General features: G+C 47.5%; 1 protein-coding gene across 21 annotated transcripts in view; it reads right to left on the bottom strand.

Annotated features, from left to right (window-relative positions):
* The window catches only part of GRIK4 (glutamate ionotropic receptor kainate type subunit 4), a 477,159-nt gene that overhangs the window by 122,033 nt on the left and 339,531 nt on the right, over positions 1–15,595 (bottom strand). For 16 of the 21 annotated variants that reach the window (NM_014619.5, NM_001440404.1, NM_001440406.1 and 13 more), the window contains one exon: positions 4,754–4,915. The exons of 2 other annotated variants lie outside the window; for them this stretch is intronic. In NM_014619.5, the coding sequence (NP_055434.2) occupies positions 4,754–4,915 (162 nt within the window). 3 more of the 21 variants (XM_047426840.1, XM_011542786.3, XM_011542787.3) reach the window with 3 other exon arrangements.

The following is a 15,595-nucleotide window of genomic DNA, read 5'->3' as shown; positions in this document are numbered from 1 at the left end:
CGAGGTGAAACCCAGTGGGGTGGGAGCCCTGCCGTCCTCAGCAAGAAAGAACACTCGTCCATTTTATTGGCAAGAAAACCAAAGGGGCTTGGCTGAGAGAAAGCTGACTAAAGTAGACGCAGAATCTGATCAGCACAAGGACCAGCTGCAGTCCTGAGGCCCACATGGATGCTCCTCGCATGGTTCCCTGAGACAGCCTTGAGCCGGTGCAGCTCAGCCCATCTTTACTCTTGTTCTCCGCCGGCAGCACCAAGAGAGCCTCAGAGAACACCCCCACTCACTGAATATCCCCCAAGCATTCTTGGGGAGCATAAGATGCTGAGGCCTTGGGAGGTCTGACATTGGACTGGGAAGGAGACAAACGAGGTCAGGGTTTCTATCTTTTAAACAGCCCTGGGTGGCATCCTCAGGACAGGACACCCTCTCCAGTCCACTGAGCAAGTCAGCACGGGACCCCTGCTCCATTGGGATGCTGTGGACCCTGCCTGGTGCTTTGCACACAGAAGAGCGGTGAATTACTGGCTTCCCTCTTTTCGGGCAAGCCTTCCCCGACCTCTGCAGGAAGAACTCAGGGGCTTTCCTCCGCTTCCATGAGAGTAACATATGCCGAGGAGTCACCTTCCCAGAGGTGGAGGTGAACCCTGCTCCTGCATGGCGCATCCGGATAACAGCGGCTTTGATCTTCACTGTGTGACTATGTGATGGAGCCAATCCTTCATCCCACTCTGCCATGGTTTGTTTGGTCCCAAGTCTCATGTGGCAGTGACCCGGGTGGGTTGGATAAAGGGGGTGGATGCTTCACAAATGGCTTTGTGCCATTCTCACAGGAGTGAGTGAAGTTTCACTCCAGTTCCCACAAGAACTGGCTGTTGAAAAGAGCCTGGCACCTCTTCCCCTCTCTCTTTTGCTTTCTCTCTTGCCATGTGAGCTGCATACGCCCCCTCCCCTTGCCTTCCACCAAGAATGGAAGCGTCCTGAGGCCCTCATCAGAAACAGATACCGGCACCATGCTTCTTGTACAGCTTGCAGAACCAGGAACCAAATAAACCTATTTTCTTCACAAATCACCCAACCTCGAGTATTCCTTGATGGCAATACAAATGGTCTAAGACACACTCTGTATTCGGGTATTCAGACTTTTTACCATGTGCCTTTGCATTTTTTTTCCTCTAAAAGGGAGAGTACATTTCCTCACTCCCTAACACTGAGTTTGTGTGTGTGCCTTTCTTTGGCCAAGAAAATGAGAGTGTGCCTTTCTGGGAGCCTAGGACTAAGAGGTCTTTGCGTTTCCACTTGCTTTGCTGCCCTTCTGCCATCACCATAAGAATATGCTGGGCTGGCCTGCTGGTCCAGGGGAAGAGTGAGAGGTACTGGCCCCAAGTAGGCCCAGTCTGGATTAGCCAACCCTTGCATGCTGAGAGATCTCAGACAGAGCAGCAGAGCTGCCCAACTGAGCCAGCTTAGACAAGCTGCTCCCTCGCTGACCCACAGGTCCGCGGGCTACATAAATGTGTATTGTATGCATATTTATTGTGTATCATGAGATTTAGGAGTTGGCTGTTACACAGTATTTACATAGCAAAAGCTACCTGATATATTTGATAATGCCTATTCCAGCATCTGGCATATATAGGTTGTTATATTAACTTAGTGAATGATTGTGAATTGGAGATAGAATCGTATATGCATATTTATTGTGTATCATGAGATTTAGGAGTTGGCTGTTACACAGTATTTATGTAGCAAAAGCTACCTGATATATTTAGTAATGCCTATTCCAGCATCTGGCATATATAGGTTGTTATATTAACTTAGTGAATGATTGTGAATTGGAAATAGAATCGTATCTGATTCCGTCTTCACAATAATGCTCTAAGATGGTCAGGTATAATTCACCTAAAGTTATGGAAAAAGAATCTGCGGCCCACGGGGGTTACGTCACTACCTCAGATCACACGGTGAGAAAATGTCAAGGCCAGTATTTGACTCCAGGCTCTGTGACTCCAAGGCCAGTGGCCTTTTCAGCCTGTCTGACCATGGCAGCGCTGACCCACAGCTCTGTGAAAGGCACTCCTGGCCTTTGTGCTGGATCCTTACAAAGAAGCCCACTAGGAACCGAAGGACCCTCATCTGTCTGCTCGTGGCCAATGTGAGCATCAATGCAAAGGAAGATACCCTTAGAGAGAATGAGGAAATAGAGCCTGGGACCATTTACTTCACTAGGCCAGATGCCAAATGTGGTGAGGCTTGGGTTGAAGGGAAAGAGACAGATGTTTTTTTCTCCTTTCTTGATATTGTACTGCAAGCCTTTCAAGTTTGTCAGCACCTATTAAAATACTGGAATGATGGCTCACGCCTGTAATCCCAGCACTTTGGGAGGCCGAGGCGGGCGGATCACGAAGTCAGGAGATCGAGACACTCCTGGCTAACACGGTGAAACCCCATCTCTACTAAAAATACAAAAAATTAGCCAGGCACGGTGGCGGGCACCTGTAGTCCCAGCTACTCCGGAGGCTGAGGCAGGAGAATGGCGTGAACCCGGGAGGTGGAGCTTGCAGTGAGCCGAGATCGCGCCACTGCACTCCAGCCTGGGCGAAAGAGCAAGACTCCATCTCAAAAATAAATAAATAAATAAATAAATAAATAAATAAATAAATAAATAAATAAAAATAAAAATACTGGAATGAGAACTGTAAGAACAGCAGACGCAGCTGGGAGAACAGGGCTTGCATTGCTGCTAGGGGTTGAGTCTGATCCTGCACATGACACTGTGCTTTGAGATGTCCCTCTCTGTCCCTTAAACCATTTAATGGACATGACTCCTTCCTTCAGCTGCCCTTCCCAGTCCTTCCCATGGATTTTTGCCTCTTTTAGGTCTAAAATATCTTGTTGGGATGGGTTCCATAAACCTGCATGAAACTCTTTCTCAAACCCGCTCCTTCTGTCCCACTCCCTGGATCAAAGCTTCCTGAGTTTTCCATGAGCTCTGACCTCCTTAGCTACCCCTTCCTTCCTGAGATGTCCACGAGGCTGCATGATCATAAAAGCACAGAGTTTTGTGAAAGGTCATTAAGTCCAGGCCCTGGCTTCCGCAGGCCACCTCCAAGGTCACCGTGTTGGCCAAGTACTAATTAGATGCCAAGTGTATAGATGTCTAGATATGACTTTGCCTCTGGGCATGTCTTATCAGAGACAGGCATCGCTCCTATTTTAAAAACTCACCAGAGAATTTCCCACTCCAGGAGTGTACCCAATTCCATTGCCATCTCCTAGACCTAATGCTTTTCCACTTCTTTCTATCTGTAACTCATCATTCCGCCTGACTCACTCACTCACTCATTCATTCAACAAATACCTAGTAACTACAGTCATGTGTTGCTTAACAATGGGGACACATGATGAGAAATGCATCATCAGGCAATTTCTTCATTGTGTGACCATCACAGTGTGTGCTTACACAAATATAGATGCTATAGCCTACTACACTCCTAGGCTATATGGTATAGTGTAGTGCTCCTAGGCTACAAACCTGTACGGTATGTGACTGTACTGAATAATGTAGTTAACAGCAACACAGTGGTAAGTATTTGCATATCTAAACATACCCAAACATAGAAAAGGGACAAGAAAAATGTGGTATTATCATCTATGGGACCACCATCATATAAGTTGTCCATCGCTGACCAAAATGTCATTACGCATGTATCACTGTACTTCCATCTAGCCAGGCTCAATTACAGTACAGCGTGGCAAGGAAATGACAGTCCTAGAGAGATGCACAGTGGAACAGAGGTTAAAAATATAAACTGTAAAGCCATACGGCCTGGGTTCTGATCCTGGTCCTCTGCTCACTGGCTATGTGACCCTGGGCTATTTGCCTAACCTTTCTGGGCTTCGGTTTTATCATCTGTGAAATGGAGATACTGATAGTAGCTGCCTCAGGAAGTTGGAGTTAGCATCACAAGGGCTGCCTCATGGGGCTTTTAAAAATAAAATATTGTGTATAATGGGGCTAGGACAGGGCATAAAAAGCCACATAATCCTAGTCTCCTGAGAACTTGCCTTTTAACAAATGTACACAAGCAGATATTCTTGGCCTGCCCCACGGAGAAGAACATCCAACTCAGTGGAGAATGGCCATGGAAAGGTTTGCTCCCGTCACACATGCCGGAAGGGGCCAGAACTGCAGAGAGGAAGCAGAGGGACTGGGCAGAAGGGAGCCATTCTGGATGAGCCGTGACGCAGGAAGTGGCCAGGGGGTGGACAGAGCACCAGACCAGGAGCCAGGATTCCTGGGGTCTAGTTCCACTCTGCAACAGCCTCGATGTTTGCCCTTGAACAAGACCCCCACATCCCCACTCCACATCCCATTCCAGTCTGGGCTTTAGTTTCCTTATCTGAAAAATGAGGGAGCAGATCAGCTTAAAGGCCCTTCCAACCGATTCTTGGATCCTAAACTCAGGCAGCTCTCGGCAATTGTATTATTGAGAGTCTGGCCACAGGGGACTTGCAGCCATCACTAAGTGACAACTCAGTGCCTCTACACAGCCCCCTCCCTGCTGTCTACAGCTCATTGCTTCCCAAACCTCATACCCTGCAACCACTTCCCACACCTCTCTACCTCCCTTTCTGAGCTGGGACTGGAGCAGGAGACGGCTGGACTCCAAGAAGATGTGTTGCCCAGGGGTTGGCCCACAGAGGGGCAATGTGCAGAGGCCAAGGGGCACCAGGAAGAGCTCTGGCGGGTACTTACCGCAGGCCCAGTGAAGGGCACATGGTCACAGTTCTCCTGCCAGGACTGGTTGAGGCTCTGGGCAAACTCTTGGAAGAAAGCATGGGATTGGTTGAAAATGGAAAATCCCAGGATGTTGACACGATCATCCACAAGGCTGTCCATTCTCTGGAGTGAGAACTCCTGGAAAGACCCAGCATCAGAAATAAGAATGTAGTTAGGAAGGGGTGAAGTGAGGGATGGACTTTGGTAAAGCATATCTGGGTACCACATTCTAGTCCAGTGAACACCAGACACTCTGTTGGGACCTAGGGGTCCAGAGTTAATGAGAGCAGTTTTTCTGGGAGTTAACACTGTGATGGTGGAGGATGGAGGAGAAAAAAAATAGCAGAATGATCTCTACACAAGTTATATACAAGATGCACTAGCTAGAGAGAGAAAGAAAAAAGCCATGTGCCTAGTGGGGGCAGCACTAGGCACACAGGGTTTTTTCCACGGGAGGTGGGATGCTTGAACTGTGTCTTGAAGGATACATAGGCATTTTCTGGGTGGAGAATTGTGAGTGGTCAAAGGCTCCTCCAGCCAGAAATCCCCATGTATAGGGCAGAGCTGAGAAAGTGCATGGCCCTTTCAGTGAACTGCCCATGGTGTGCTTGTACTTTGATGAAGACATCACTTCTTAAAGTGTGATTCTACCATCAGCATCATCCAGGTTCCTTTTTAAAAAATGATAGGGCCGGGTGCAGTGGCTCACGCTCATAATCCCAGCACTTTGGGAGGCCGAGAAGGATGGATCACTTGAGGTCAGGAGTTCAAGACCAGACTGACCAACATGGTGAAACCCCATCTCTACTAAAAATACAAAACTAGCCGGATGTGGTGGTGCATTCCTGTAATCCCAGCTACTTGGGAGGGTGAGGCAGGAGAATCGCTTGAACCCAGGAGGCGGAGGTTGCAGTGAGCCGAGATTGTGCCATTGCACTCCAGCCTGGGCAAGAAGAGCAAAGCTCTGTCTCAAAAAAAAAAAAAAAAAAAAAAAAAAAAAAAAGAGGATGATTTCTGAACCCTACCTAACACTACCTGAATCCGAATCTGGGGAGCTGAGGCCCAGGAGCTTGCATTTCCAGCAGGACCCTAAGTCTTATACACCTGAAGTGTGGGTTAGCACACTGGATACAAGGGGGCCTGGGAGAGGGATGGTGAGAAACGAAGCTGGGGCAGTCAGCAGAGACCAGACCATAAGAGTCAGGATGCCAGGCTTGGGAATGTGCCCTTTGTCCTATGTGTGATGGGACCCAGGGGAACTGTCAGTGGAGGAATGCCAAAACCAAGTTTGCTTTCTAAGAACCTCAACCTGAAGGTTTGCGGGTAGGGTGGTGCCTTCATTTACCACTAATTTTTTCATTCACTTGATACACATTTAAGCATTTATCATGTGCCAGACATGGTTCTAGGCATGGAGGATATGGATGAGAGAGACACACTTGTTGCCCTCAGGAAGCTTGCAGTTAGTGGAAGAGACAGATAGTAAGGAAACAAATTCATCGTCATTTCATATAGCTATGGGGATGGGACTTGGGGTGAGGGACTGCTACTTTAGATGACGCAGTCAGGGAAATCCCATCTAAAGGCAGTGACATTTAGAAGCTCAAAGGAGTTCTCCCTGCAACCCATGGTCCTCATGCAATAACGCTGGTGGGGCCACGTGTTAGCCTGCAGGTGTGAGTGCACCGAGGCCAGTTAGTGTTATAGAGAGGGGCAGTGTCCTCCTCTGAGCTCTGAGCCCTGGCCCCCAAGGTCTCCCTGGGCCCTGTACAGCGAAACCAGTCAAGAGGGTGTAGATTATTCAGCTCACTGATCCCCGCTCCCGGAAAGATGCCTTCAAATGTGCGTCAGGCCACCTTTTCACACAAAAATCACATTCATTTCATGTTCATTCCAAGTGCCTTGCACACAGATCCACACCCTGGGGGTACACAGGACTTCCAGACCCTAGGACTAGCCCGTCAGCCACTCAGCCTGACATGACAGATGGCAAGTGCCTTAGGCTTTCCTTCTGGCCAGGAAGAAAGATTGCTTTCCTCCAGGCAGTCTCCTCTTCTGAAGACTTAGCTGCTGTAGGCCCCTGGCGCCACCCTTGCATCCTTGCCACACAGCTCCAGACACTGCCAAGGCCTCAGGCTACAGGCCTCAGCTCACCTACCCAGAGCCCAGCTTCATTAGCTTACACGTGCAAACTGGAGGTACCAAGCTTCCTTTGAAGCCACCAATGCCTGACAGAGTGGATTTGGATAAGGTTTAAGTGTATTTTGGATCCTGCCACATTCCCATTAGGGGAAAAAGGACATGCCAGAGAATGTATTGATTCCTACACTGATATTATCTCCTATCTCTCTAACAGGGCAGCTGCCCATGTGCTGTGGGCTATCGGTAGGCACAAGGGGGCAGATGGCTAATGGAAGAAGATGCATTTGGCAAGGGTGCAGGGACTGGGGCAGAGCCAGACTGTTGTGGGCAAACCAAGGGGCCTGGCTGGGCATGGTTGGCAGGGGCTGGAAAATGTCCTCTTCCCTGGCTTCCTTATCATTGTGGGCAGACACATCAGCCCAACTCCATCCTCTCCCCACACACAGAGCCCGATGGATGAAGGCTCATTTTAAGGAAGCCCTGAGGCTCTGGATGTCCACAGATTCACAGTGGCAGCTGGGGTGATATAGTGGATTCAGGCTTTGGTGTTCAAATCCAGGTTCCTTACCATACTGGCTGTTTGACTTTCGGCAAGGTCTGTAACCTTCTGGGCTTCAGATCCTTGTTTTTTAAAAAGAAACAATATTAGCAACCTTATAGGTTATTTCAAGAAACAAGTAAGATGCATGTAAAGCTTAGCCTCCTATTTGGCAAATACGACAGCTACTGAAAGACCACCGTGAAATCTGGGGTAGCTTCTGGCTTTCTGCCTCTTCAGTTCCACAAGTTAGAAAGGTATTCCCTTCAAATGCATGTTCTGGGCGGAGTAAGAATGAATGAGTTAATTACAGACACTTAGAGACAGTCTACCCAGAAGTCAGCCAGTCTGTCTTCCTGCCTTTTTATTCCTACCTTCTTGTCCCACAATTCTATGCAACTTTCAAAGGCCTCTTAAGATAAAAAGATTCCAGAAGCTTCCTTGATAATTCATTCTATTTATAATGACTCATGGGATAGCCTGTGGAAGGACAAGGAAGGGGGAGGGGCACATTCTTTTACTGCCATTTCCCACGACACTCTAAGGTTCTAGTATCTAAGAATCCTTACAGTTAGGAAATTCTCCTTTTTATCTAAACTTAAGACTTTCCTGCTGCTATTGAAGACTATTGTCTAAAAGAATATGGGAAATAACTGACCACCGTTAGTTTACAAACAATGAACATCTTATGTGCCAGTATTTATCAAAGTGTGTTCCTCAGGGCATTAGGTTTCCAGGTGACACCAACAGAAATTTCATGAAGACAAGGTTCCATGCTCAGATAAGGCTGGAAAACAATGCATATTATATCTGCCTTTTCAAGATTCGTAATAATCACTAGCATATTAAAGGCTGAAAAGAGTCCAGCAGTGAAGCAGCTGGTTTAATTTTGTTTAACCCTGAACTTCCCAAACACACTGACCATGGAACAAAGCAGGACTATGGGTTTTTTTTTCTCCTCCAAAATCCATGAGTGCCTGGCAGTGGCGTGCTTCAGAACGCAATCTGGGAAATGCTACTCTACATCTATTCAGAGAAACATTTCTTAGAAATCCAAAGTCAAGTGGTGGAGACATTTTGCGGAGAGAGATATTTCATAAAACGAACACATTTCAGGAATGGAAGGGATTAAAGTTCACCCAGTTTCCGCTGCCCACCCATCTTGAGCCCTACCTAAGAATGCACACCTGGCTCACTTAGGCTCCCATTATGCCTCCCCAACCCCGCCCCAGCCACACTGCCTGGCTGGTTGTAACCTTCATACAATGACAGAAAGGAACAGTCCCTCGGGTGGAACAGGTTCTCATGGGGACCTTGATCCTCTTCTTATAAATATCCCAGGAAGGGATATCCTGAGGGTCCCTGCTCCCAACAGGAATCGACTCCCATTGTCCCAAACCAGGGAATGAGGGTGAAGAACAGAGCAAATGGGACCTGGTAAAGCCAAGTGGTGGGGCAGAGACCAGGACCAGGTCTTCCACTACTCCAAGTGTGGGTGGCTTTGTGATGGACCCCATGTTGCATTGTTTGTTCACACATGTGGTCTCTCTCTACAGGGGGCTGTGTGTTTCCAGGAAGCAAAGATATGTCTGCCTCATTTTTGAAGTTCACACTGCATCTAGAGAGTGCTTGGTACCTAAAAGCTGTTTGGTCAACGCTGTTTTGAGGACAGTTGATTGAAGACATCTTAATGCCTTGGGGTCTCACTGTGGCCAACTCTAACACCAAGCACACCCTGTCACACCTCCAGAAGGTGTAAAAACATGAGTAGAAGCTGTGCTAACCACTGACTGTCCTCTGTGAATTGCATTATTGTATTTTTTTTTTAAATCCTGACAGCTTGCTTTATCATCACTGGGCTTTCACATGAAAAACATTTTTAAAAGTGTGTGTGTGTGTGTGTGTGTGTGTGTGCATGTGTGCATACATGTGTGCAAATCTTTGTGTATACAATGGTATGTAAGGGTCCAAATAGCTATAGTTGAAGGTCAGGTCAGAGCCACAAGTGGATACGGGCAGATGTTACCCTGAGATGAAGGAATGCTTCACGGATAATGGCTTGAGAGCTACGTGGAAGGGCGCCCCTCACTTTCTGCAGCAGACGTGCCATGTCCAATGTCCTGGTTTACAAACAGGCATCCATTCACTGCAAGCTGCAGGAAGCTTTATGGGTCTACAGCCTGTTCATCGCCTGGGCCAGGGAGCAAGGACAGGCTCTGAGTGGGGGCTGAGTTGGGCATGGCCCCAGACAGGTGGAGGTCCTAGAGCTCAGGTAGTTTTGTTGGAGGATGAGAGGAAGAGAGGGTCTGGGAAACTGTGAGATTACCATGGCTGCAAGGGGCCGACCATGCCTTATACCACACAGGGTCCAGTGCCAAGAAATGTAGAGCTTTAGTGTCTGGTGTCTGGGAACATGGAGGGATAAGGGAAAGGTTGGGCAGACCTTGTGGGCAGCTTCTGCAAGGGAGGTCTAGGGGAAGCAGGGCCCCGGGGACATGTTCAGCTGGGCTAAGCAGGCAAGTCCCATCACTGGGGGTGGGATTTAGTCAATCCTGAGGACAGGACCAGGTTAGTCAACTACAGCTAAAAGCACAAGAACTTTTAATGGCCCAGATTGTTTCTGAGTTTGACCTTAAGTAGAAAAGCAAGAAACCAAAGCACAGGTCCAGGTGGTACCCTTAAATCAAGTTCATCTCCTAACCCAGGTCAAATGGGTAAGCAGGGGAAGTGGCATTCCGTGATGTTTTCTGCCCAACAGCCCCTTCCCCTTTGCCTTCCTAACCAATAAGGGCATTACTATTCTCCCAGGCACCTAAGCTAGAAACTTCAGAGACAGCCTCAACTCCCTTATTTCTTAACTCCACACCCAGTCAACTGCCAATTCTGTCAAATCTATCTCTTAAATGTCTCTCGAAGTTGTCCCTTCCTTTCCAACCCCTCCAGGTTAGGTCCTCGTCATTTCTCCTCTGCAATAGCTGCTATTTAATGGAGATCGTGCCTCTGATCTTAGGATACCTAGCCACTATGCTGTTCAATTCCCAGGTGCCATTTATACTGATGACCATGTGAATGGTGCCCCTTGGTGCCACATTGTGCAATGTGGCAATCTCATCAGGAAACAGTAGCATGTATTAGAAAGAGCACAAGTTTTGAAATAAGACAGTCCTGGTTTCAAACCCTCATTTGGCCACATACTGGCTGGCTGATTTCAGGCGGATCTCTGAACTTTCGATGTGTTCACCTGTAAAGTGCGGGTAAGAGCATCTACCTTGCACAGGTAATCCATGAGAAGTGCCTGGCACACAGGTACTCATGGCCTGGGAGTCCTCTTCTGTCCAAGTGCAATCCATCCTCCGTGCTGCCGGTGTCACCAAAGTGGGTGCACTGCCCCAATCTCCTTCCTTTTCCTGGTCCCCCTGAACTGCTGGGCCCTGCCAAAAGGAAAGATCTGGCCTGGAGGCTTCGCCTTCCTCTTTCTCTTCCTCTTTGTTTGGCAAGAGGTGACTCTTAGCTACTTGTCAAATGGGAAAAGTTTTGCTAAATAAGTCACCATAGGCCGGGCGCGGTGGCTCACGCCTATAATCCCAGCATTTTGCGAGGCCAAGGCCGGGGCATTACCTGGAGTCAGGAGTCCGGGACCAGCCTGGCCAATATGGTGAAACCCCATCTCTACTAAAAATACAAAAATTAGCTGGGCGTGGTTGTGTGGCATCTGCCTGTAGTCCCAGCTACTTGGGAGTCTGAGGCAGGATAATCGCTTGAACCCAGGAGGCAGAGTCGCAGTGAGCCAAGATGGTGCCACTGCACTCCAGCCTGGGCAACAGAGACTCTGTCTCGAAAAAAAAAAAAAAAGTCACCATAAGATGCTAATTGCTTGGTCTGGCTATTTGTGTTGAGAGAGAAGCCTTTAGTTGAAGTTCCAGATCTTCCAACCATGAATAATCACAAGAAAGCAATAATTCTAATAATAACTACTACAATTTACTGACCACCAACTGTGCGCCAGGCAAAACTGAGCACTTCACTGAGAACATGAGAGAGCTGAGGTTTGCCTCACATCGCATCTGTTCAGCATGAAGAACCCAGAAAAGGAGTCACAGCAAGTACCAGGGTGCAGCAGGTGGGAAGGAATTAGAAGTCAATGCAGTATAACTGCAGGCTTGTGTGGCTAAGATGGCTCAGAGAAACAGGCAGTCGAATGCAGCTTGGTGAACTTGGCCAACTTCTGCTGAGAGCTGTCCAGCAGCCTCAGCCGCCCCTAGTAAAATCTCTCCACGGTCATCATTATTTGAGCCTCAAATGCTTCCCCGCTGGCCTGTGAACTCCTGGAAGGTAGAATAGACTGTCTCACTCACTGCTGTGTCCCTGGCACCTAGAAAAATCAGTGAAATCAAAAGTTGCCTTTTGGGCTTAATTAAATGGTTAGGAGAATAACTGTCCTGGAGAGAGTGGGTATGGGTTTGGAGTCACCGCATTTTAAATCATACACTGTCTTTGGGTATTTTGACCTAGATGTTCCTCTCTGAAAGCCCACATTCCAAAAACCAATCTTTAAAAAAAAATCTTTTAATTTCTTTATTTTTCTCTTTTTTAATCAGAAAAGTTTCCTCATTTTAAAATGGGGGAAATAAGACTTCACTGTGCCATTGTGAGACTCAAAAAAGATAATACATAGGAGAGCTCTGTGCAGACTGGAAGTATGATACAGACTCCTTATTAGTATTATTAGAAGTAATAATAGAATAGCTCAAGGAATGCATGTTTCATGCACTTTCAGGGATCATTAGCAGGTAGTGAGGAAGGCAGTGTGCGGAGGCCTTCCTGAAGCCCACCAGATCACGCCACAAAGGTGGCTGGCTGTCTCCGGCGTCTGCATAAAGCCCTCAGCCCCAGGTAGTCCAAGAACCTTAACAGCTCCCTTCCCAGCAGGGCCACAGGCAACCTATAAAAGGTGTCACTCCAACACCTCTGTGACCTCTGAAATCTCTCCAAGTGTTAACGCTTGCACCCATTTGGGTTATAACTGGCCCTATTTGCAGCCTCTTCACTCCAGAACTGGCTCTGCTTCCTAACAGTGGTGTTTAAAATCCTTAACCCCCTTAACAGTGGGGTTTCAAGCAGTCCCTCATTTCTTGCCTGCTTTCACCCAAGCCTCAGCCTCTGATCCTCTCTGCTCCATGCTCAGCCCTGGACCCTAACTGCCTGGGAGAGGAGGCTGGCAGCCTCATGTCACCCACATCAAAGTGATTTATGAAATATCAATTTATTACTGAGTATAATAACATCAACTGCTTCCACGGATGTGGCTGAATGAAGCTTACAGGGCACTTTCATGCACTGCTTTTGGGGCTCCCGACCACAATTGGAAGTGAACAGAACAGGTTTTATTCATTTTCACATGTGGTAGAAGAGCAAACTGAGGTGCCCAGGAGTTAAATGTCTTGCCCCTAAGACAGACATGGAATTAAGATCCAGGTCCTTGGCAAATAAGACCAGTGATTATTCTATCTTCCCTACTGTGTGCTCAGCACTGGGCTAGGCCACTAGGAGGTGGTGTCAAAGCATACTCCATCACTGTGATTGTTAATGATTGACAACTTCAAATGTTCTCACCCCAGGAGTCCTGAAACACTAAACGATTCTAATTTCTTAAAATATTATTATGAAGCTGAAAAGGAGGAAGATATCCTTAAGACCGTATCGCTCTTTAACTTGAACTCCTTATCTTGCCACTTGGATCTGCTTCCCTCCCTTGGTTCCCTGTTTGTGAATGTCACATGATCCACCTGTCAATCAAGCTAGAATTTAGAATGCATCCTCCCCTTCCATGCTCTCACTGTCCACATCTCATTCATTCATTCATGTAAGCAGGTATGCACTCATTTATTGTCATTTGAGGACATTATAATTCCTTTACATCTCTTGAATCTGATCCCTGCCCTCCACCCCATCATCTCTAACTCAAATCAGATCCTCACCAGCTTGGTCCTAGACTACGGACTCATTGGTTTCTCCTCCTTTAGTCTTGCACTTCTCCAAGTTCCTTCTCCATGTTATTGCTGGAGAGATCTTTTTAAACTCCACATTTGATCATGAACTTCCCCCTCACCGAATACTCCTTTACTGAATACAGGACAGAAACCCCTTGGCTAGACACACAAGTCTTTTCATGCTATGATTCCTGCCTACCTTTTCCTCAGTGTCCACCTTGACCTCCTGCATCTCCCAAGCCTGGAAGAAGCGGCCACTCAATCATGCCCCCTTTACACCTCATCTACATACCTGTCATCACTTGGAGCTTTTTATCACGAGTTTGTTCAAAGCTACCTCTCCAAGGACTAGATGCCATTTGAAAGAAATGCACTTACATTATCAGTGTTCACTCTGGTGCACCCCATATAGAAAGAAGTCAAGGCTGTTGACTAAAAACATTTAGGAAGGCAGCACTTGTCAGGCTGTGCCTCATCTCACCCCATTGGCAGCCTGGTCCTTTCACCTGCCCAAGGCTCTTCTTCATAGCTAGATCTAATGCATCACAGAAGCCAGGCCCCAGACCCTTGTCTCAGAAGTCCTCTCTTAGCCTTTTTGCAGGAAAGCCCTGGAGCCACCAGAAGTCCAAAATCTCCTGGGCACCCTTACATCCTCTCCTTCCCTCCTGAGCCCACTTGACTGCGGTACCCGTCTGTCTATTTATCTGCATCAAAGCCTGTGCTCTCTGTGTAGGCTGGGAGATGGCTTTTTGTGTTGTAGGTCTTTGAAGACAGTAGCAGCTGGGAGGCTAATTCACACCTGTCAATGAATTCTATTTAATAGGAGATTTGGTCCTAAATCTCCCAGCTTTGGATTCTTCTCCCTGCATGTTTCCTATTCATTTACCCCATAACCTGGACATGCACATCCCTTCCTCCCAGGAACTCTGTCCTTTCTCTGCTCTTCTTTCCCAACATGAGTCCACAAACAGGACTTCAAAGGCAGACCATATTCCTTCTTGTTCATGCTCTATCCCCTTCACTATATCCTACACTTGCGCTTAGCAAGTGCTCAATACACATTCATTAAATTAATTCATGTTCACCTGCAAACACCCATCAGGGTAGAACTGCCTTTACAAAGACCTCAGTCATATGCTTCCAGGAAGAGGAAGGCAGAGGCCAGGTGGAAAGCCCTCTTACCTCCTCAGCAGCAGCTGGGTCTGTCTTCATTTTTTTATTTACAACACTGTTCTGGGTCTCTAGGTGCTAAATAAGTAGTTATTAACTGTGTGGTTAACTGTGTAGCTGAAGCCTCAGTAAGTCAAGTTGACAATGAGAACTAGTGGACACCTCGGGCTCTCCCCTTAGGCTGCAGTGAGCTACCGCTTTTCTGCAGGCTTGCTTCCTTCTTCAGGCACTGATCAGCATTCACTGGTCAGGCCTCCTGTCTATACATCAGTTGCTAAACCTCTCCTTTCCCAGGTCCCAACACATTAGCCTCAGGCACGTAGAGATCCCAGGCACCCCCAGCTCCACCATCCCACCAGGGGTACAAGGAGTTGTTTAGGAAGATGAGCGATGCTGTTAATCAGTGGACTCTGCCTCCTTACTAATTTATGTGCTCCACATTGGCAGCAGGATCAAATAATGGGTTCTCCACAAGGACTGAGCATCTTGCTGACTCTGCTGTGTTCCAGAGGCCACCAGGCTCTCAGATAGGTTCCCACAGTGGGGGCGGGGGAGGGGCAGGGATATGCATAACAGATTTTCAGCTCTTGGACACTTTTTAGATCTTAGTTAGTCTCACTCATTCCTTCATTCATTCAACAAAAACATGAGTGTCTCCTTGAGAACACACAACATGTTGGGCACTAGAAATAGAATGATAAGCACACTCCATGCCTGTCCTCAAGATGCTTAAACTTAGTAGCAGGTGGAAGGTAAGTCCTGAAGAGTAGTTAATTACACGGCATGGCACGTATAAGGTGGTCTTTTCTACCAGAATTGCTGCTGATATTCCTGAGCTGAGAGCTGACTGCAAGTTGAGACCTGAAAGCTGAGCAGGAGTCAGCCAGATAAAGAGGTGGGAAGAGGAGTTTCACGAACAGAGAAACCACAGCATGTGCAGAGCCCCAGAACAGCAAGAGCTTATAACAGATTCAGGGA

This window comes from Homo sapiens, chromosome 11 (assembly GCF_000001405.40).
Source record: "Homo sapiens chromosome 11, GRCh38.p14 Primary Assembly".
Lineage (NCBI taxonomy): Eukaryota > Metazoa > Chordata > Mammalia > Primates > Hominidae > Homo > Homo sapiens.
Note: the sequence above shows the minus strand (reverse complement) of the source record. Positions and strands in the feature narration are given on the sequence as shown.